This window comes from Homo sapiens, chromosome 2 (assembly GCF_000001405.40).
Source record: "Homo sapiens chromosome 2, GRCh38.p14 Primary Assembly".
NCBI classification, from domain to species: domain Eukaryota; kingdom Metazoa; phylum Chordata; class Mammalia; order Primates; family Hominidae; genus Homo; species Homo sapiens.
The window spans coordinates 89,530,680-89,552,542 of record NC_000002.12 but is presented as its reverse complement, the minus strand read 5'-3'; the positions used below and the strand labels follow the sequence as shown (position 1 = coordinate 89,552,542).

At 45.3% G+C, this 21,863-nt stretch overlaps 2 pseudogenes and 1 further gene across 3 annotated transcripts in view, besides 1 other annotated feature; 1 reads left to right on the top strand and 2 right to left on the bottom strand.

Moving 5' to 3' along the window:
• LOC107985911 (lymphocyte specific protein 1 pseudogene) overlaps nucleotides 1-9,704 on the top strand; it is a 42,827-nt pseudogene extending 33,123 nt beyond the window's left edge. For 2 of the 3 annotated variants that reach the window (NR_160761.1, NR_160765.1), the window contains one exon: nucleotides 8,707-9,704. The product of NR_160761.1 is annotated as a lymphocyte specific protein 1 pseudogene, transcript variant 1 (transcript). Of the gene's footprint in view, nucleotides 1-5,576 lie in introns of all 3 variants that reach the window. The other variant, NR_160763.1, reaches the window with a different exon arrangement.
• IGK (immunoglobulin kappa locus) overlaps nucleotides 1-21,863 on the bottom strand; it is a 1,378,008-nt gene that overhangs the window by 682,826 nt on the left and 673,319 nt on the right.
• LOC102724365 (proton channel OTOP1-like) lies at nucleotides 13,746-21,000 on the bottom strand (annotated as a pseudogene).
• Nucleotides 14,485-14,989: an enhancer, noted in NCBI's record as "H3K27ac-H3K4me1 hESC enhancer chr2:91799900-91800404 (GRCh37/hg19 assembly coordinates)". NCBI's record gives its function as "activates a minimal SCP1, AML or CMV promoter by ChIP-STARR-seq in naive H9 embryonic stem cells {active_cell/tissue: H9 hESC(naive)}" and the evidence as "EXISTENCE:reporter gene assay evidence [ECO:0000049][PMID:30033119]".

Sequence of the window (21,863 nt, the reverse complement as noted above, 5' to 3'; positions counted from 1 at the left end):
TATGTACATGTAATCCAAAGGTTCCCTCCGTTGAAACAAAATAACAGTGCTTACCTAACCAGGTCAGCTGTGAGCTGGGACTTCACAGACAGGCATAGAGAGACATGGATGCAGGAAGGGCTTCCTTAGCTGAGAGGGTCGTGAAACTGGAAGGTAGTAGCAAGCATTTTCCAGTTGGATCTTTTGGCCGACATTTGTAGTGGGGAGACAAACATGTCTAATTTTCCCCCCACCCTGGCACATGGGCAGGTAGGAAGATGCTGGTGGGTTTGGTTCGACAGTTTGGAGAATGTCTTGTGGAAGGGGTGCTTTTTTTAATGCACACTCAGGCACCATGGGAGCCTGTTGTCACCCTGGATATCTAGCTCCATGCCCTTGCCCTTCCACTCTGCCTCGACAAGAATCATGGCACCCAAAATACATGAGTTCAAATCTAAGTTTCACAGGCTCAGGGATGAACCCAAGCTACCAAATGCACAGGCCCCTCCTGTATACGGTTACAGCAGGTAAGGGAGTAACTTACTCAGTGCAAGCTGCTGTAACAAAATAGCACAAGCTGGGTGGCTAATCAACAACAGGCATTTATTTCTCACAGGTCTGGAGGCTGGAAGCCCAAGATCAGGGTGCCAGTGCTGGCATGGTCGGGTTCTGGTGAGGGCCCTCTTCCAGGTCACAGACAGCTGTCTTCTCATTGCATCCTCACATGACAGAAAAGAAGTGCACAAGCTCTCTGGCCCCCTCTTACAGGCGCTAATCCCATTCACAAGGGTCCTACCGTCATGACCTCATTACCTCCCAAAGACCCCACCTCCAAATACCACCACATTGCCATTAAGCTTCAACATATGAATTTAAGGGGGAAACAAACATCCAGTCCATTGCAGATTGTCCTGATAATATGTGTGCCCAGGGCATTGCCCCCACAGCAAAGAGAGACATTGGAAGGCAAACCAATGTCAGGTTTCCTAATGTGCACGGAGTCATCCCTGGAAGAGTGAGTCCGGTGATCTTACCAGCTAATTGCATTGAGCTACCCCACCTTGGGGATCTACCTGCCAAGGAGAACAGAACACCACTGGCTTTGACACCCATCTCTCAACAATGATGGAAGAATGCTGGAAATTTACCTGCTCTGGTAGCTCTGTCTAAGTTCATCTTCCTTGTATGGACTTTCTTTTTTTATTGCTCTCAAATACTTGTATTATTAAATATCTCATTTAAAATTTCTTTAAAATACATTAAAAGTACATTTAAAGAGTACATTTTAAGAGTGCAGATGAAAACATAATGAATACATCTTTGCTTAAGAAAAAATATTTCGGACACAGCATGAACTCAGTTGCTGGTTCCAAGCCCCTCCCCTTCTCACTACACTGAACTTGGCATGCATTCTTTCTTCAGGTGTGTTTGTAATCTTACTACATATGGACATATCCCCCAGCAATATCAGGGATTGTTTTGCTTGTTCCTAGACATCATATAAATGGTATCATACCAATTATACCCTTACACTACTTAATGTTTCATTCAACATTGTTTTGGGGGACTATCCATGTTGATACATGAATTCTGTTGTGTTCATTTTTTCCTCTTGTGAAATAGTCCATCATGGAAATTGTCCCTAGTGTGTCTATCTGCACTCCTAATTGACAGGCATTTAGGCTGTTTTCCATTTTCCTAATTACAAGTTATGCTGAGTGAACATTCCTGAACATAGGTGTGAGGCTGTCTCTGGAGCACATGCCAAGGAACAGAATTCTTAGGTCGTAAGGAATGTGTACCTCCAGCCTTAGTCAATATTGCCAATTGCTGTCCTATCTGATTTTATTCATTTACGCTCCCACTAGCAGTATATATGAGTCTTTCTTTCACTTCTTGCCAACTCTTACCAATCTAATGAATGGGAAGTGGTAACTCATTATTATTTCAATTTGTATTCCCTGTATTAATCCCTGAGACCTTAACACTTGTGTATTGCACATTCTGGTTCCTCTTTGGCAAATTGCCTTGGCATTAAGATAGTAAATTTTCCTTGCCACCTACGCTGGTTGAGTCAGGATGCTTAATTACTTGGAGGTAAAAAGCAACTAGCTGAAATAGCCATCCCTGAGGCTGCCTGTTGAGGATAGGAGATGCTTCATCCATCTTTAGATCCTTTCTTGGAAACGCTGAGCCTGGCCAGCCATGCAGGCTTTTCCAAGCTCTGATGCTGCCCTGTGTCCACAATAGCATCCCCACAGCCTGGATCCATCATTCCCAGCATTATGATAGCTCCTTTGTCTCCTTGGAAGAGCCCAAAACCCACAGCTGAGGCCTCAGGGCTTTTCTAATGTGCTTAGAACAGGGGTAAAGGTAATGCCAACCAAAATGGGGAAACCTGTATTCTTGCTCAGTCACTGCTTAGTCAGCATAAATCACTCCAGAGGATAGTTTGTTACTGACCTCAAAGACTCAGTTACAAAGATGATCACCATAGCATTGTTTACAGTAGCACCAAAAAAAAGGAACCACCTAAATATCTCTAAATGTCCAACATCACCGTTTGAAAAAATAAGGAATGGTACATCCTTCCATGGAATGTACCTTAAATCCACCCAAAATCATACTGCATATGGATATACAATGTCAAGGAAACTTAGGAGTCCTAGCTTGGGGTCCATGGACGTCCAAGGAGATGCTTATCAAAGGGAGTTGGCATCCCCTGAGATGCTCATGAAAGTGCAGACTTCCGGGCCCCCCTCCAGACTGAATCTGCACTTCCAGCTTGGAGGGCAGGAATCCTAACAAGTTCCCCAGATGAGTCTCAGGCACACTAAAGCCAGAGCATCGATGCCTGGGACCCAAAATAGGGAAGAAGCACTCTGGTGTATCAAGAGGAAAAAAGCAAGTTACATACAAACGCAGTATGGGTGTGGGTGTGGGTGTATGCGTACTTTTGAAAAAAAAAATTATCGGCTGGGTGCGGTGGCCCACGTCTGTAATCCCAGCACTTTGGGAGGCCAAGGTAGGTGGATCACCTGAGGTCAGGGGTTCAAGGCCAGCCTGGCCAATATGATGAAACCCTGTCTGTACTAAAAATACAAAAATTAGCTGAGCGTGGTGGCAGGCATCTGTAATCCTAGTTACTCCAGAGGCTGAGGCAGGAGAATCGCTTGACCCCAGGAGGCGGCAGTTGCAGTGAGCCAAGATCATGCCATTGCACTCCAGCCTGGGTGACAAGAGTGAAAGTCTGTCTCAAAAAAATAAAAATAAATATATATATATATATATTTTTTTAATTTTTATTTTTTAGAGACAGGGTCTTACTGTGCCACCCAAGCTAGAATGCAGTGGCACAATCTTGTCTCACTACCCAATCTCAAACTCCTGGGCTCAAGTGATCTTCTCCACTCAGCCTCATGAGTAGCTGGGACTACAGGCATACTCCACCGCACCTGGGTTTTTTGTTTTGTGTTTTGTACAGACAGGGTCTCACTATGTTTGTGTTCCCTGGATGGTCTTAAACTCTTGGCCTCAAGCGATCCTTCTGTGTCAGCCTCCCAAAGTGTTGGGATTACAGGCGTGAGCCACCACGTCCAGCCTGTGTGTGTGTACTAATAGCTACCTAGATAACAATACTTAACAGCAGTTACCTCTAGATTACCTCAGCACCATTGACAATCAGCCCGAAGACTTTGTGGTGGGGCTGTCCTGTGTGTTGTAGGGTGTTAGCAGTATCCCTGGGTGCAGTAGTGTAACAATCAAAAATGTGTTTGGTAGCATAAAAGTACAACTATAGTTAACAACAATTTATTGTATATTTTAGAGTAACTAACATAGTGAAATTAGAATGTTCCTAACACACAAAAAAGATACATACCTGAGGGTATGAATATCTGTCACCCTGATTTGATTATTATTTATTATATGTTTATATCAAAATATCACATGTACCCTGTAAGTATGTATAAATGTTATGTATAATTTAGATTTATTTTAATTTTAATAAAAAATAAATATTTAAAAATGTCTTCAGATATTGCTAAATGTCCCCTCAAGGAACAAGGTCCCCAGTTGGAGAACCGATTCTCTAGATGGGACATGTATAGATGATGCTTTCCTTTGTTTTTTAGTATATATGCCTATTTTTTAGTTTTTTCTAAAATAAGTGTACTTTAGTCATGTTAAAAAAAAACTTTGTATTTATTACTGTCCCATTGCCTGCACTGTCTGAAAAAAATACACTCAAATGAAAAGATACATTAATACTTACAGTAAGAAAATTAATTTTATTATTATTTTAAAATAGCTGTGGAAAAACTATACAAAGGCCTCCCAAATGTCAATATTCCTTAGGCACCTTTGAAATATTTATAAACTTAATCTTTGGACTAGGCATCCTAATTGTAATTCCATATCTTAAAGAAGCAATTCTAAATATAGGAAATGCTTCACAAATATGGTTGATTTTTGCAGAGTTACCTATAAAAGCAAAAAGTTATAAACACTGTAAAACCAACCATAGGAAACTGTGTTAATTAAGGTACATTCACTTGATAGACTATCATACAGCATTAAAATGATATTTATAAAGAACTTATAACAATATGGGGGCAAGGTTTATGCCATATTGTTAAGTAGGAAAATAACTGAATACAAAATCAAATATGTTACATCACCATTCAAAGGTATAATAATGACAATAAAAAGAATCTCATCAACATGGTCGGAAGAAATACACCAAGATATTAAAAGTAATTGTTAATTGAACAATGGCATCGTAGGTGACTTTTTCTCTCTACTTTTCTGAAATATCCAAATTTTTTACAATAAACATGTATGTATTTACAGTGAAAGAGAGAACAGTGAAATTTCTTTTTAAAAATACTTGAAAATGATCACAAAAATGTGCCAACATTTCAGGTAAGAAATGTGTTTTTATATTGGTCTGTATACAAATTTCTATCCAGCTGATAAAAATAACTTCAAGAAATTAAACCTATTCAGAAACAATAGTGATTGTGTCTAAATTCATAGGCTTTGAGAAGGATAAATTTTTAAAGTGTAAATTACTATGCAGGTGGTCAGGAAAAGGTTGTATGGAGTCACATGATAAATGACACAAAGAAAATGCTTTTTATGAAAAACAAACTGGATAGATTTTTTCCCAAGCCAGAATCACATTCTTCTAAATCATTTAGAAGGCAATAAAATAATTTGGGCTTGATTAGCATTTAACTAACCAAGGACAGATTCCAGCCACCTTATGGATTTTGATCTAACTTGTTTACATTCATCAGAGGTGATGGGCAGTTCCAGCCCACAGGAAGCACAATCTTTGCAGACAAAAGGTGGCCCTTCTCATGTTTGTCAGGCAATATTTGTCCAACCTGGCCATTCCCAGTTGGCTCCAATGAACTCTTGTTAGCTCACTCCTCGGTCTCTTGTGGAACCAGACTATATCTTACAATAGACCTCAAAGAGGGAGGCAGCTGCGTGCATTCCATAGAAAATAGAAAAAGGCATGGCCAGGTTGACCACAATTATCCAGGGTTCAAAGCCAAAGACAATCTCCTCCAATCCGTTGTCATACTCAGGTCGACAGCCAAAAGCGGGAGGTATCCAAAGCTGCAAGAGAAGAGAAAATGGCCTGTGGTGGGGAGCAGCTTCCAAGCCACCATGGAGGCCCCACTCAAGTCCCAGGCCTCATGGGAGCTGACCCTGATGCACGGGGACTGAGTCACCCCTGACAGAACAATAAGGAGACCTCGTGGCATTTCCCATCTCCACAGAAACCACCAAATCCATGTCTGCCATGATCCTGCTCACTTCCTCACCCACCCTTCCCTGCAATCCATCCCTAATGAGCGCTCTTTGAACCCATCCAACTCTCTCCATCTCTACAGCCCTCGCCCAGCCTCAGTTTCCTCATTTGAAAGATGGGAATTCTAACACGTGTCTGAGAGGGCTTAGATGAGAATTAAGTTTGCAAAACTGAAAGCAGTGACTTTTGTTTGTGTTGCTCACGGAACCTACACACTGTTCCCTGCTTCTCAGGCTCTTCTCTGTCCCAGTTCTCTCCCTTTCTGCCACCCCTTGAGTTGTCAGGCTCCTCACTCCTGCTTCAGGCTGCACCCTTCTTCAGCTTCCTCCACTCCCTGGCTGTGGCAGGCAGCCTCTAGGATGACCCTCAATGATCCCCAGCTCCTGCAGTCACCCTCTTGTGGAGTCCCCACCCCTTTAGTGTGGGATGCACCTAACGACTCACTTCCAACTCACAAAATATGGCAAAAGACACAGGAAGTCACTTCTGAAATTAGGTTGCAAAAGGACCTGTTATCCCTCTTGCTCATCTTCTCCTGAAAGACAGGTGGCAGAGCTGCCATGCTGCGAAGCACCCTACGCGGCAAGGGGCCCAGGGAGTACTCCTGTCAACAGCCAGCAAGGAACTCAGACCCTCAGCCCAACAAGCCACAGCTGAATCCTGCCAACAGTCACATGAGTAGATTTGGAAACAAATCCTCTGCCACCTCTCGGAAAGTCAAGCCTTGAAATGAATGCAGCCCCAGCCAACAGTTTCAGCCTGGGAATGGCCCTGTGCAGAGATACTCAGCTAAAACTGTAGTTGGATTCATAAGTCAGAGAAACTATGAAATCATAAATGTACATTGTTTTAAGTTGCTGAGTATTGGGGTGGTCTCTTCCATAGCAATACGTAACTGAGACACATAGCCTTCATTTGTATCTCCATACAGAACACTCCCTGGTATATACAGCCGACCTCTGTATCCAGGGACCTGTGTCTGTGGATTGAACCAACCACAGATCAAAAATATTCAAAAAGTAGGCTGGGCACAGTGGTTCACACCTATAATCCCAGAACTTTGGGAGGCCGAGGCAGGTGGATCACCTGAGGTCAGGAGTTCAAGGCCAGCCTGGCCAACATGGTGAAACCCCATCTCTACTAAAAATGCAAAAAATTAGCAAGGTGTAGCGGCATGTGCCTGTAATCCCAGCTACTCAGGGGGCTGAGGCAGGAGAATCCCCTGAACCCAGGAGGCGAAGCTTGCAGTAAGCCAAGATCATGCCACTGCACTCCAGCCTGGGCAACAGTGAAGCTCGGTCTCAAAAAATAAAAATAAATTAATTAAAAAAATAAAATGGTTTGTTGTGTCTGTACTGAATAGGTACAAACTTTCTTCTTGTCATTATTCTCTGAACAATACAATGTAACAACTATTTACATAGCATTTAAATTGTATTAGGTATTCTAAGTAATCTAGAGATGTCTTAAAGTGTACGGGAGGATGGGTAGGTTACATGCAAGTATTACCCCATTTTATATATAGGACTTGAGCATCTGTGCATTTGGTATACACCACGGGGGCCCTGGAACCAAGACCCCTCTCTTCTGCTTTGCTTACTGGCTGCTGTGACTCTTAGGAGCTCTCCTACTTGTTCGGCGGGTCCCTCCCAGTCTCCTTTGCTGTTTCATCCTTTGCTCTGCCTCTTAATGTTAGCCAGCATCCAGGGCTCATTCCTGGGTCCCTTTCTATTCTCTCTACACATGAACCCTGGGGCTCTCTCCCAGTCCCTGGTTGTAAATACCAGCTATAGGCCTATGACTTCCCAGTCTCAATCTCCAGCCTGGACCACTTCCAAGAACCCCAGACTCATAGTTTCCGGTGGCAACTTGGGTGTCTAAAACACATCTCAAACTCAACCCACCTTCCCCATTTCTCCATCTGCTCAGCTACATCGTCCTCCCAGGTGGTCCATCGAGGCTCCAGGTGTCAACCTTATCTCCCTCCTACTCTCATAACCATGCCCTCTCCCATCCAGTCCCTCAGCGCATCTCCACTGTGCACCTCCAAAGCAGTATCTTCAGCCCACCTGTGGCTCTCTCTCTCCACCTGTCCAGCCGGCCTCTCTCACCTGGACCATGGCGGTGGCCCCGTGCCTGGTCTCCCAGCTCGAACTAGGGTTCCACTCGGCCACCAGATTTACATTATATGGAAATCAGATCCTGTCCCTACCTTGATTAAACCCCTAAAGTCTTCCCAAAATATTTAAAATAAATTCTACACTCCCGCACTGAGTGATAAAGTGCTCTGTTAGCTGATTTCTAACCACCCACGCTTCTCCCCACTCACCCCACCCACATTGCAGGCAACCCTTCTTCCTGTTTCTCAAACCAGACCCGCTCACTCCCACTGGGGGTTTATACCAGCCGTTGTTCCCTCTGCCCTGAACATGCGTGGCCAACCCCTTCCTGTCTCATGTCACCCTTCAGCGAGGCCTTCCCGCTAAGCTGGTCCATCTGATCTACAATGGCAGCCCAAGAGCTATTTCCCACACCCTCCTTTTCCACTTCTCTGCTTAACACGGGTACACTATAAGGTGTCTTTCTTGCTCAGTTGATGGTTTCACCTGCTGTTGCCTGGTTTGTAAGCCCCATAAGAGGAAGACCAGAGATCTTGGTCATTGCTGTACCCTCACCATTCATAGCAGTCCCTGTACCTCTGTAGGTACTTAAGGGACACCTTTTAAAAGAAGGGTGAGAGGAAGGGCAAGGGAGACAGGGAGGAAAAGGGAGAAGAAAGGAAGGCAGGAAAATGGGACCTCTTTTCTGAAATCCACATCTTTATATGTGCTGTTTAGTTGGCTGGAAATTCTTGTTACTTATCCTATTGAGAAGTGGCCTATGACCTCTTTCTTTGAATCTAGATGGACTCTGTGACTACATGACTAATAAAATATGGCAGAAATGACACCATGCAGTTTCCAAGCCCAGGCCTTAGGAGACAGGCAGCTTCCAGTTCAGTCTTTTGGAGGGTCAGCTCTGGGGCCCTCAGCCATCACGCATGGAGTCCAACCACCCTGAGACGTCATGCTGGAGACCCACCTGTGGATGCCCCAGTCAAGAGTCCTGGCTGAGCCCAGCCTCCCAGCCACCCCCACCCAAGGCATCAGACCACGAAGCTTCTGGCCAAGGCTTCACCAACTTCACTTGATGCTGTGAGGAACAGAACTGCCCATCCAAGCCCTGCCAGAATTTCTAACCCACAAAGCCATGAGTCACAATAAATGCCATGGGACAAAAACAGTCATGCATGTTGCTTTTGTCATACATTAGTGGTAGTTCATCGCACGGCAATAGAAAACCAAAATACCTGTCTACTGGGTTCGTCCATTTGGATGCCACAGAGGCACCTGAAACAGAACACGTTCATTACTTAACTCTGGTTCTTCCTTCCACACTGACCTCCACCCACTGCTCCCAAGGTTGCCCCTCCTCCAGAGTCCTCCATCTCCAACATAGTATCACCATCTCCCCAGGAACTCAAGTGTGAAGGCAGGGGTCATGTTTGGCATCTGTCACCCTTTGCGAGTTGCAACCTGGAGACCCTGGAGGGTGTTATGATGAGTGAAATAACCTAATCACAAAAGGACTAATACTCCACAAATTCACTTATATGAGGAGTCTAGGAGTCAAATTCCTAGAGACTGAAAGAACGGTGGTTGTCAGGGGCTGGGGAGAATGGGGAGTTCATATTTAATGGGGACAGAGTTTCAGTTTTGCCAGATGAGAATAACCTGGAAATGGATGGTGTGATGTTTGCACAATGTGAACGTACTTTACTCCACTATACATTTGAAAGTGAGTGCAATGGAAAAGTTTATGTGATGAGTTTTTTACCACAATTAAAAATATAACAAAATAAGCATGAGTCAGATCCCGTCACTCTCAGTGTAGACCTTTCCATGGTTTTCTGTTGCATTTAAGATTGAGTCTTGGCTCGCAGGCCCTGTGTGGTCTCCCCTCTGCCCTCTGCTCTGTGCTCCCAGGTCATGTCCAGTGAGCCCTGCCTTGCCTTGCATCCGTCCCTTCCCCACACCTGCAGCTCTGCCCTGATAGTCTCTCATCCCAGCCCCATCCACACCCTTCCTTAGAAGAGGCCTTCCCTGACCCATCTCCCACAGCACCCTGCCCTTCCCCGTCACCACAACCACCCTCTGTTGTCTCCAGTGCCACGGCTCCTGGAAATTCAACTAACATTTCCATGTCCGTCTCTGGAGTGGAGCCCACTCCACCTGGACATGCACATCAGCACCTGCAGCTGGGGCCTCTGGACTGGCTCCCGATGCTGGAGAAGACAGCTCTTGCTCTCTGCCAGATGCCTTTGGCACCACCTGGGGTCAACCACAAGGTTTCAAAGTGCCACCCCATGAGCCAGCACGGGTATCCTAAGACTCCACCCTGCGATGATTTCCATCCTCTGGTTCAACCCCCCAGAACCCAACCAGTGCCTGGGGGCATCATGGGCCAAGCACAGGGAGGAAGAGACGGAGCCCACCCTTCTCCTTGGACTGGGCCCTGGGTCTGGCTTTCGGGTCCTGACAGACCATGAATTGCCACTTGATTCTGGTATTTCAGACAGTGCTATCTTTCTTCAAGTGGGTCCAAAAATGCAAGCCAAGTATTTCACCCAGTGGTCAACCAAAAAGGCAACCAGGGAAAGACAACTTTTCAGAACTTAGTTTTAAAAAGAAATATTAGGTCAGAAGCAGTGGCTCGCGCCTGTAATCCCAGCATTTTAGGAGGCCTAGGCAGGCAGATCACCTGAGGTCAGGAGTTCGAGACCACCCTGACCAACCTAGTGAAACCCTGTCTCTACTAAAAGTAGAAAAATTAGCTGGGCATGGTTGTTGCATGCCTGTAGTCCCACCTCCTCGGGAGGCTGAGGCAGGAGAATCACTTAAACCCAGGAGGTGGAGGTTGCAGTGAGCCGAGATCGCATCATTGCACTACAGCCTGGGCAACACAGCAGGACTCCATCTCAAAATATATGTATATTAATATTAATCACAGGATATGTACAAAAAGCATATACTTGAGGAAGATTCTAGAACTAGCTCTGACTTTATAAGAATTTGCATTTTGGAATATGCACCTCAAAAAAATGCAGCTTACAGTATCTATCTCTCTTGTTAACTCTTTCAATTTTTGACTCACTGCTGTGCCCCTGACATAGTCCCTGGCATACAGCAGGTGCCTGGCAAATGTCTGTTAGATGGAGAAGAGGGTCTCCCTGCAGCCAAACTCTTCTGGGCCTTCCACCTTCAGAGCCCCTCCTCACTGCCTAGCAAACTGAAGGAACCTGGGTGATCCAAGGCTAGGGTGGATCAGGTTTGCTTGGCAGACACACAGCCATTCTGACTTTAGAAGGGACTTACTTTCCCAACTTTGTGTTCTTAGGGTGATATCAAAAGCTGCAGGCCCCATATGCACCATCTGAAATTCAGGGGAGGAAGCTCAAAAGCCTCTGAGCTGCTGGGGCAACAGGGAGCAGGCTTGATAACAGAGGCTAGTAGCACAGAGCTGACTTCACCCAGAGTGATGGGCAGGCACCTCTGTGGACTGGGGCACTCCCCTCCAGCCACCAGTCACCATCACTGCAGAGACTCATGCGGTGGCAAAGGCTGCTTCCCCCTCCTTCTTACTGACCCCCACCATCCTTCCTTTATGTGTCTTTAAAAAAATCCCAACAGCACACAATGCTTCTTATTCCTTTTTCTTCTCTCCATCCCTCCATCACTGCCCTAGTTCAAGCTCCTCCCCTTCCTGCCTGGGCTGTTGCAGGGCTTTCTCTCCCAGTCTTTCTGCTTCTGGCCCTATCTGTCTCCATCCTTGCTACACACAGCTACTGGGAGGATCATTCCAAAACACAAATCTGAGAGAGTCTTCCCTTGCCCTCAGCATAAAGACTAGACTCCAGCCAGGCCTAGGAAGCCCTGCTCAAGCCAGAGTCCACCTACCTGGGCCCTCTCTCCTATTTCCCATTCTGCTACTCTGCTTAACACACATGGAATTTATGCCAAACTACTTGGTGCTCTCAAAACATGCCATGGTGTCTTTTGCCTCTGTGTCTTCACATATTGTGTGTCTCTGCCTGAAATGCTTTTCCCCGCCTTGATAACCTGGTGAACTTCCAGTCATTCCTTGCTGATGCAGACAGATGGGTGAGTGACTGTACACCTTCCTCTCCCTTGCTACCTTCCATCAGAGAGGCTGGGAAGCAAACCGTCCACTTCCCCAGCCTCCCTTGCAGTGAGGGGTGCCCACATGAGAGACATTGTCTGGCACCAGCCCTTCCCCACTGCTTTCTGTCTTGAACCCAGATGTGATGCCTGGTGCAGCTGCAGCCATCTCATGACCATGTCGCAACAAACACCACACGACCCAAGTGACAAGATGAACAGTGCCTGGATGCCTGATGACACGGTTCAGCTGCCAGGCCAACCCCAAGCAGCCAACCTCTGGAATTCTCAGGAGATAATTAAACATTGATAAGACTGAAGACACTGTGAATCAAATTGCCTGTCACTTGCAACTAAAAGCACTCCTGATTGACACTGGGCCTCACCTCAAGCACTCACTACTCACTGAAGTCCTTCTGGATCCCTGCTCCTAGTACACCTTGCACAAGCCCATCTCAGCACTTGTCCTGTTCACTATATTAGATTTGCTCATTGTCTCCCTCCCCCATTATACTGAGACCTTTTAGAGGAAAGAGACTGAGTCTTTCCACTTTAATCTTTAGTACCTAGCCCAGCCCCTAGCACACAGCAAGTCTTCAGTAGGTAGATTTGTAGAATATAGGTCTATTTTCCAGCCTTATATTGTAATTTTATACTTACAGTATTTTTATTACAAGCTGCCTCCATTCCTTATTTTAAAAAGGCAAGAGAAACCTAGATGTCCATCAATAATGGACTGGATAAAGAAAATGTATTATGGCCGGGTACAGTGGTTCACATCTGTAATACTAGCACTTTAGGAAGCTGAGGCAGGAGGATTGTTTGAGCGCAGGAGTTCAAGACAAGCCTGGGCAGCACAGTGAGAACCTATCTCTACAAAAAAAAAAAAAAAAAGTTTTGGCCAGGCATGGTGGCTCACACCTGTAATCCTAGCATTTTGGGAGGTCAAGGTAGGTGGATCACTTGAGGTCAGGAGTCCGAAACCAGCTTGGCCAACATGGTGAAACCCCCATCTCTACTAAAAATATTTTCAAAAATTAGCCAACTGTGGTGGCAGGTGCCTGTAATCCCAGCTATTCTGGAGGCTGAGGCAAGAGAATCACTTCAACTCAGGAGGCAGAGGTTGCAGTGAGCACCATTGCACTGTAGCCTAGGCAACAAGAGTGAAACTCTGTCTCAAAAACAAAAAAAGTTTTTAAAATTAACCAGGTGTAGTGGCACATGCCTGTGGTCCCAGGTACTCAGGAGGCTGAGATGGGAGGATTGCTTGAGCACAGGAGGTCGAAGCTGCAGTGAGCTGTGATCATGCCACTGCACTCCAGCCTGGGCAATGGGGCGTGACCCTCTCTCAAAAAAAAAAAAAATAGAAAATGTGGTAGCTCTACACCATGGAATATTATGCAGCCTTAAAAAAGAATGAAATCACATTATTTGCAGCAACCTGGATAGAAATGGAGTCCTTATCCTAAGTGAATTAACACAGGAACAGAAAACCAAATACCTCATGTCCTCTCTTATAAGTGGGAGCTAATGGTAGTCATGAACACAAATATATGAACAATAGACACTACTAGGGACTACTAGGGGGAGAGGTCAGAAGTGGGGTGCAGGGTGAAAAACTACCTATCGGGTACTATGCTCATTACCTGGGTGACGGGATCATTTGTGCACCAAACCTCAGCGACACGCAATTTACCCATGTAACAAATCTGCATGCGTACCCCTTGAACCTAAAATGAAAGTTTACAGCAAAATTAAAAGAATAAGAATAACTTGGTGCAGATTACCAAAGTATTGCAGAGGAACAAGAAGGCTGCAATATTCCTCAGGACTTTTCTCTTGGCGTTGCCCTGTAAGAAACGAGGAAGGTGGACTGGGCTTGGGTTCCCTCCCCAGCTGCTCTCCTCCTGCTTCTCCTCCTTGTCACAACTTTCTCTCAGGCACACATTTCCATTGGCTGCTGGTGGCATGTCCCTGCCCCAGGGAGCCACGTCTCCGGCCACAACTCCACTCTTGAGGCAGGAGGAAGCAAGGGACATGGTGTTGCCATTGCAGACTGTGACCATCCGAAGGGTTTGGATGTCCTCAGAGAGTTTTTTAGGCTCTCGGTGAATGGATTCAAAGATGAAGAGGTTCTGGATGTACTTCTCCATGATCACCACGATGGAGTAGGGCAGGTTGTACCAGGTGTAGTGGGGGTGGTCCTCGGCACAAAGGATGGCCAAGATTGAGCCCCAGGAGATAAGCCAGGAGCCTGAGGCAGTGCCCACCAAGAGGTCCGAGTCCAGTTTGCGGGGCGGATTTTTGGACTCATCCAGTGACTTCTCATCTGTCCTGTAAATCCGGATTCCAGCCAGCCCCGCAGCCCCCATAAGCATCATCAGGGTGATGACATACAGGTAGAACGTGATGAGTGCTGACTCGCTCTTGGTCTTGGAGCACCCAATATGAATCAGGTGCACCACCCACCACCACGGCAATGGTGGCAGCCAGCGCGGTCAGGCCCAGGACTGTGCCCACCGTGACCCCATCAGGCTTGAACTGCATCTTCTGGTGCTGATGGCTGTCAACTTTGCGCCCGATGTTCTTCCATAGGACGTAGAGCACTGTGGAGGCCAGGATCTGATACTCTATGTTGAAGGGGTAGAGGTAGTAGTTATAGTAGATCCCGTGGGAGATGGTGGTGCAGAGAGTTGGGGGCGTGCAGTTACACTGCGGTGTGTGGTCATCTAAAACTAGGGGAGACAGGTTGATCACACAGAGGGGCTATTAGCAGGTGCAAGGGGAAGCAGAAAAGCACAGAAAACTGTTTCCACTGTGGATTCAGGCTTGAGTCTTCCCACTGGATTACAAGCTTTTTCATGTCATGGCTTATTATCACGTTTAATATGATGGCTAATTTGATAGCCCTGAGTATCCCCAAAGCATATTCATTACCTAAATCACATTTATTTGGTGAGTTGCCAAAGAGGATAGAGAAGATGACTCTATTGTTGTAAAAAATAGATATGTAGATGATAGATAGATAGATGGATACACACACACACAGACAGACAGAAAAAACCTGGAAGGACACAAACTAAAATGTCAACAATTGTTATCTCTGGGTGGAAAAATGACAGATGATTTTTAACCTCTTCTAGATTTTGCTTCCCTGTATTTTCTAAATTTTTTCTGTGAAGATGATTTACATGTGTGATTTTTTAAGATTATTTTTAAAAAATACTTTCTGGAGAAAATGCCCCTTTTAATTAGCAAAAGATATGCCTCTTAAGACTCCAGTGCTAGCAAGCATGCAGGAGACAGGTGCTCTCTGATATCAGTGCGGGGAAAGTAAACGGGCACCACCTTCTGGAAGAGAAGCTGGCTGTCATATGGAGGGCCCTCTCATCACAGGAGGGCAGATGCTGCAAGTAAATGACGAAACAGGTCACCAAAGCCCTGAAGGCGATGCAGTCTCTGACCCATAATTCCATTCTTTCCATTCTACCCTTCTACTCAAAGGGACAAATAAAAATGTAATCAAAGAGTCAGGTAAGGCCAGGAGTGGTGACTCAGCCCTGTAATCCCAGCACTTTGGGAGGCCAAGGCATGTGGGTCACTTGAGGTCGGGAGTTCGAGACCAGCCTGGCCAACATGGTGAAACCTCATCTCTATTAAAACTACAAAAATTAGCCAGGTGTGGTGGCAAGCCTGTAATACCAGCTACTGGGGAGGCTGAGGCAGAAGAATCGCTTGAGCCTGGGAGGCAGAGGTTGCAGTCAGCTGAGATCGCACCGCTGCACTCCAGCCTAGGTGACAGAGTGAGACTCAGTCTCAAAAAATAATTTAAAAAAAGTCAGGTAAAATTGTGTGTGTTTGTGTGTGTGTGTGTGTGAGAGAGAGAGAGAGAGACAGAGAGAGAGAGAGAGAGAGAGAGAGAGAGGAACAGCTCAAAGTCCAACAATTTAGAAATTGTTAAGTAAATTTTAGTATATCCCAACAATGAGATAGTAGACAGCCACTGCACGTTATAATTAAGATGTGCTTTATGGTTTTGGGTATGGGGGGGGGGTTTGTTTTTTGTTTGTTTTGAGACAGAGCCTCCTCTGTTGCCCAGGCTGGAGTGCTGTGGCACAATCTTGGCTCACTGCAACATCAGCCTTCTGTGCTCAAGCATCCTCCTACTTCAGCCTGCTGAGTAGCTGGGACCACAGGCCCATGCCACCACTCCCAGCTAATTTTTATATTTTTTGTAGAGACAACGTTCCGCCATGTTGGCTAGGCTGGTCTTGAACTCCTGAGCTCATGCGATCTGCCCGCCTCAGCCTCCCGAAGTTCTGGGATTAAAGGCATGAGCCACTGCACCCAGCCAGGATGTGTTTTAATATTAAGAAAGTAATCTCGTTTCAAGGAAAATGGAAAAAAGTAAGAACAAACTGTATATTTCTTTAATGCAAGTCACAACCCAGTACAAGGCTGCAAAATCAGGTAGCAACCAACTTTTTTGTAGCAGAAATAATTTTCAGTGGACTAGAATGGGATAGAATGGAGTGGAATCAACTCCGATAAAATTTGGAAGCATCTCTGATACAGTAAAATTAAGTATTATTTCATCAAGCATACACACATAAGTATGTGTGTGTTTGGATTACAGTGTAAAATCTGTCTCTTATTGAAGGTTGCAATAAAAAAAGATCAAATATATAGTATAAAATCAACTATAAATAAATGGCACACTACAAAAAAATAACCAAACATTCGCAGCACTTACTGCATTTCTGGGTAAGTGTTGTGGATTTTTTTGCTTCACACTTTGTCATTGTTTTAGTTTATGATATGTATATATTACTTACAAAATCTGAGAAAAGCAGCTGGGTGTGGTGGCTCATGCCTGTAATCCCAGCACTTTGGAAGGCCGAGGCAGGTAGATCACAAGGTCAGGAGATTGAGACCATCCTGGCTAACATGGTGAAACCCTGTCTCTACTAAAAATACAAAAAATTAGCCAGGCGTGATGGTGGGCGCCTGTAGTCCCAGCTACTCAGGAGGCTGAGGCAGGAGAAGAGTGTGACCCCCGGGAGGCAGAGCTTGCAATGATCCGAGACCATGCCACTGCACTCCAGCCTGGGCGACAAGCGAGACTCCGTCTAAAAAAAAAAAAAATCTGAGAAAAACTATATCGTAGCATTAATTTTACTTTCACAGAACACTATGAAATTTTCTTTTTCTTTTTTTATTCTTTTTTATATAGGGTCTCCCTCTGTTGCCCAGGCTGGAGTGCAGTGGCACAAACACAGCTCACTGCAGCCTTGACTTCTTGGGCTCAAGTGATCCTCCTGCATCAGTCTCCCATGTAGCTATAGCTGGGACCACGAGCCCATGCCACCATGCCTGGCTTTTTTTTTTTTTTTTCCAGAGCTGGGGTCTCCCTTTGTTGCCCAGGCTGGTCTCAAATTCCTAGGCTAAAGCAATGCTCCTGCCTTAGGATTACAAAGTGCTCAGATTACAGGTGTGAGTCACTGCCCCAGTAATAATCTTCAATTCACACAGGGCTTCCCTAGCACTTACAATTCAATACGGTGTTATGCAGAAGACAAGGGAAGAAATCAGGAGGAAAAGTTCAGAGTAACAGAATGTTACAGCTGACAGAGTCCTTTTTTAGAAAATTAATCCAACCTCATCTTTCACAGAGGGCCTTGAAGCCAGATTGTTAGGATTCAAATCATGGCTGTATCACATGTTCACTGTGTTACCCTGGGCTAACTTCTCCGTGGCTTGATGCCTTCATCCATATAATGAGGTTAATATTGTCTACCTGAGGCCAGGCGCAGTGGCTCACGCCTGTAATCCCAACAGTTTGGGAGGCCAAGGCTGGCGGATCACAAGGCCAGGAGTTGGAGACCAGCCTGGCCAACATAGTGAAACCCCGTCTCTATTAAAAATACAAAAATTAGCCAGGTATGGTGGCACGCACCTGTAGTCCCAGCTACTCAGGAAGCTGAGGCAGGAGAATCACTTGAACATGGGAGGCAGAGGTTGCAGTGAGCCGAGATCACGCTACTGTACTCCAGCTTAGGCGACAGAGTGAGACTCTGTCTCAAAACAAACAAACAAACAACAATATATATATATATATATATATATATATATATATATATACACATACATATACACACATATATAGCCTACCAGAGAGTGTGGGGGTACAAATTAAATGACATGTGTAAATTTCCAACAACAGTGGCAGGCACTCAGCAAATGCTTAATAAAAATTTACTTTTGTTATTGTTGTCATTGCTGCTACTAATATTGATACCAAAGAGGACATGAGGCCCAAACACCGAGTGCCTGCTGGTTGGGGGTGGTGACTTCATTGTCTCCACCCCACTGATGACAAAACAGGTTCAAAGTGGCTCTCCAGGACAGCCTGGGTTCACACAGCTGTCACAGACTTGCTGCATGTTAAAGCTGGAAGGGATCTTTGCAAGTGCATGATTTGGATACCCTCACTTTACAAATGAGAAAAGGGAGGCTCAGAGAGATTAAAAGTCTTCTAAAGGTCACACAGCTTGTACATGATGGGAACAAACCTGAGACACCCAGTTCCCTGCCCCACATTCCCCTCAGCCTGAATGTTCTCATATAGAAGTGACATATTGTAAATGCTAAAGGATTTTAGATGAAAATATAAAGATTAACCCAACAGGCTCTCAAATAGGAACAAGTTAGAACAGACATGAGCTAGAATTATAAGCCAACTACAGTTAAATTAAAACTTTAAATGAACCACAGCCTATTAACCACAACCTACCATTAGACTTTTATGAATTTTTAAAAGCCATACTTTTACTAGAAAGAACTGGTAATAGAGGTTTAATTAAAAACACAAGCAGAGGCAACCATCAATCTTCTGTAGTTGAAAACAAAGACATTTATTTCTGCGGCAAACTGGACCATGAGAAATGGCCATCAGAATGATCACCGTGGGTCTTACAAGTCCCTGAGTCATGGAAGAAACCTTAATTATGCTCAGTACACATCACTTATGAGAGATTCAGGTTTTGGAAGATTTTCAACAACAGGGGGCTGTCTGGCTGATGCTGACTTTGGTGGGCCTGAAGTTCTTTGGAACCTGCACTCCATCTCTGAACACTGTGGACTCTGCAGGTTTCCAAGACATTCCAACATGGCAGAGGGGCCACTCACCTCTCTCAGCACTCACCTGTTGTTATGTTCCCAAAGCCCAGAGTGATGAGCCATTCCTTGTGCTCATTGAGTTGGTGCTTTGACTCATTGAGGACGCCGTTGGCCCACAGAAGCAGGTTGGTGAACACCAAGTGGATCACCCCAAACCTGAAAAACACAAGGACTCAGTTCTCAAGCAGCCCTGGGAGAGCCTCAGGCACCATAGGGTGAGACAGACATGTGCACACAAATACACGGCTCCTTCTCAGCCATGATTCTGGCTACATCATGGATGACCCTTGAGAACGTTATGCTGTGAGAAATAAGCCAGACACAAGAAGACCAATACTGTATGGTTCAATTTATACGAGGCATCTAGAATATTCAAACTCATAAAGACAGAAAGTAGAACAGAGTTTGCCAAAAGCCAGAGGAGGAGGAAATAGAGAGTTGTTTAGTGGGCTCAGAGTTTCAGTTTTGCAAGATGAAAAACGTTTGCAGATTGGTTGTACAACAAGTGAATGTACTTAACATTAATGAACCATATGCTTAAAATGACTAAGATGGTAAATGTTATGTGATTGTCAACCTGAAAAAAAAAGACATTAGAGAAAATTATCGCTAAATATGTTGGATTTACTTGGAAATAGGAATTACAGTCCAGAATGCATGGAATGGCAAGCCACCAGCGCATTCGGTGAGGGAAGGGTAAGGAGGAGCTGTTATTAGCAAAGAGAGATTTACATAATCCACAGAGAAAAAAAGTTCATCGGTTCTAGAGGCTCAAAGCCAGAGTTGTCATCAGTTCATTGGTGGAGATGCCAGTGCTGGACAAGTGTTCTTCCAAGAGCATCTTATCTGCTTTACTGCAGTCCTAATGAATGTCTAGTAATGTCCAACCTCTTCAAAGCAGGAGATGCATGAAGGGTTTTTAGAAAGTCTTTGGAAACACTTTGTATCTCAGACACGTAGACAGAAGTGCCCTCTCCTTAGCGCTTTCCCAGGCCTATTTTGCCTGGGTCTGACAAAAGCGATTTCATCCTGATATCTACGGGTTTTTCAGTATTTGCCACAATTTTAAAATAAATGCTCTGTTTTTTAGAACAGCGCCTAATTGTTATATATACTTTTTTCCATTCGCCAGTCATCTAATGTAGCAAAAGCACATGGTAAGTGTCCAACAGGTATAGAATTATTAATTCATTGACTTGCCTGGCCAATAAAAGGCCTTAAATTAGAAAGCTAGGATCTCCAACCCACCAACTAAGAGGGATATTTTGAAAATTCATATCTGTCCCAGTCATTCTTCTGCCTAAAGCCTTCAGTGGCTCCCCACTGCCCTTGAGGTGAAGCCCAAGCCCCTAGGTGGTGGTCAGCCTTGACCAAGAATTTGCTGCACACCTAGCCCTGTGCCAAGTGCTTTTCATACACATGTGCCTTTAATCTCTACAACGAGCCCATGAAGTAGGTACTGTGATTGTCCTCACCTTGCAAGTAAGACCCATGAGGCCCAGAGAAGTTAAATAATTTTCCTGAAGTCACACAGCTGTGGTCAGAGCCAGAGTCATGCAATCTGACCAGAGTGCAAGCTTACAAGCCCTACACCAAACAGGGATCCAGCCTGTGCCCACACATCCTCCCGCTACCCCACTGTGAGGAAAGACTGCATGTCCCAAAGACACCCTCTTCCAGTGGCCTCTGACCCACTAACCCTGTGCTCCTCCCTCTCTCACAAACGGTTCTGGGACCTTCTCTGGCAGAAATTGACTCTCACCCCAAGCTGCCGAAATGCCCTCCTTTGTGCTCCCTCATTGCTCTGGGACACTCTGGTCAAAGCACTGAGCCCAGCGTTGTCACTGTTTTGGGGACTGCCTCTCACCTAACTGACACCCCCACGGTGTGTGCCACAGACTTTGCAGCCTTGTATTCCCCATGCTGAGAACAATGTTCATCCAGTATTTAAAGATGAACTGCAAGAAAAATAAATGAATGAACGAATGCAGTTCGTTCTGGCCTCACGAAAGCTTTCCACATTGTCACTGTATCACTATAAGGCTCTGTCTTCACGGGATTTGGCTCCCCTGGAATGAGCAGCCAGTTATCTTTGATCAGCTTGGGCTGCCATAACAAAGGACCACAGATCATCAACTTCAATAACAGGAATTTCTCTTCTCAGGGTCCTGGGGCTAGAAATCCAAGATCAAGGTATGGGCAGGGTTGGTTCCTTTTGAGGCCTCTCTCTTTGGCTTGTAGATGGTCAATTTCCTCCAGTGTCTTTACATGGCTGTCTCTCTGTGTGTGTCTGTGTCCTTCTCTCCTCTTGTTATAAAGACACCAGGGCCAGGCGCGGTGCCTCACGCCTGTAATCCCAATACTTTGGGAGGCCGAGGCAGGTGGATTGCCTGAGGTCAGGAGTTCGAGACCAGCCTGGCCAACATGGTGAAACCTCATCTCTACTAAAAATACAAAAATTAGCTGGGCATGGTGGCAGGTGCCTGTAATCCGAGCTACTTGGGAGACTGAGGCAGGAGAATTGCTTGAACCCAGGAGACGGAAGTTGCAGTGAGCCGAGATTATGCCATTGCACTGCAGCCTGGGCAACAAGCAAAATTCCATCTCAAAAACATAAAAAATAAAGACACTAAGCATATTGAATTTGGGCCAGCCTAATGATC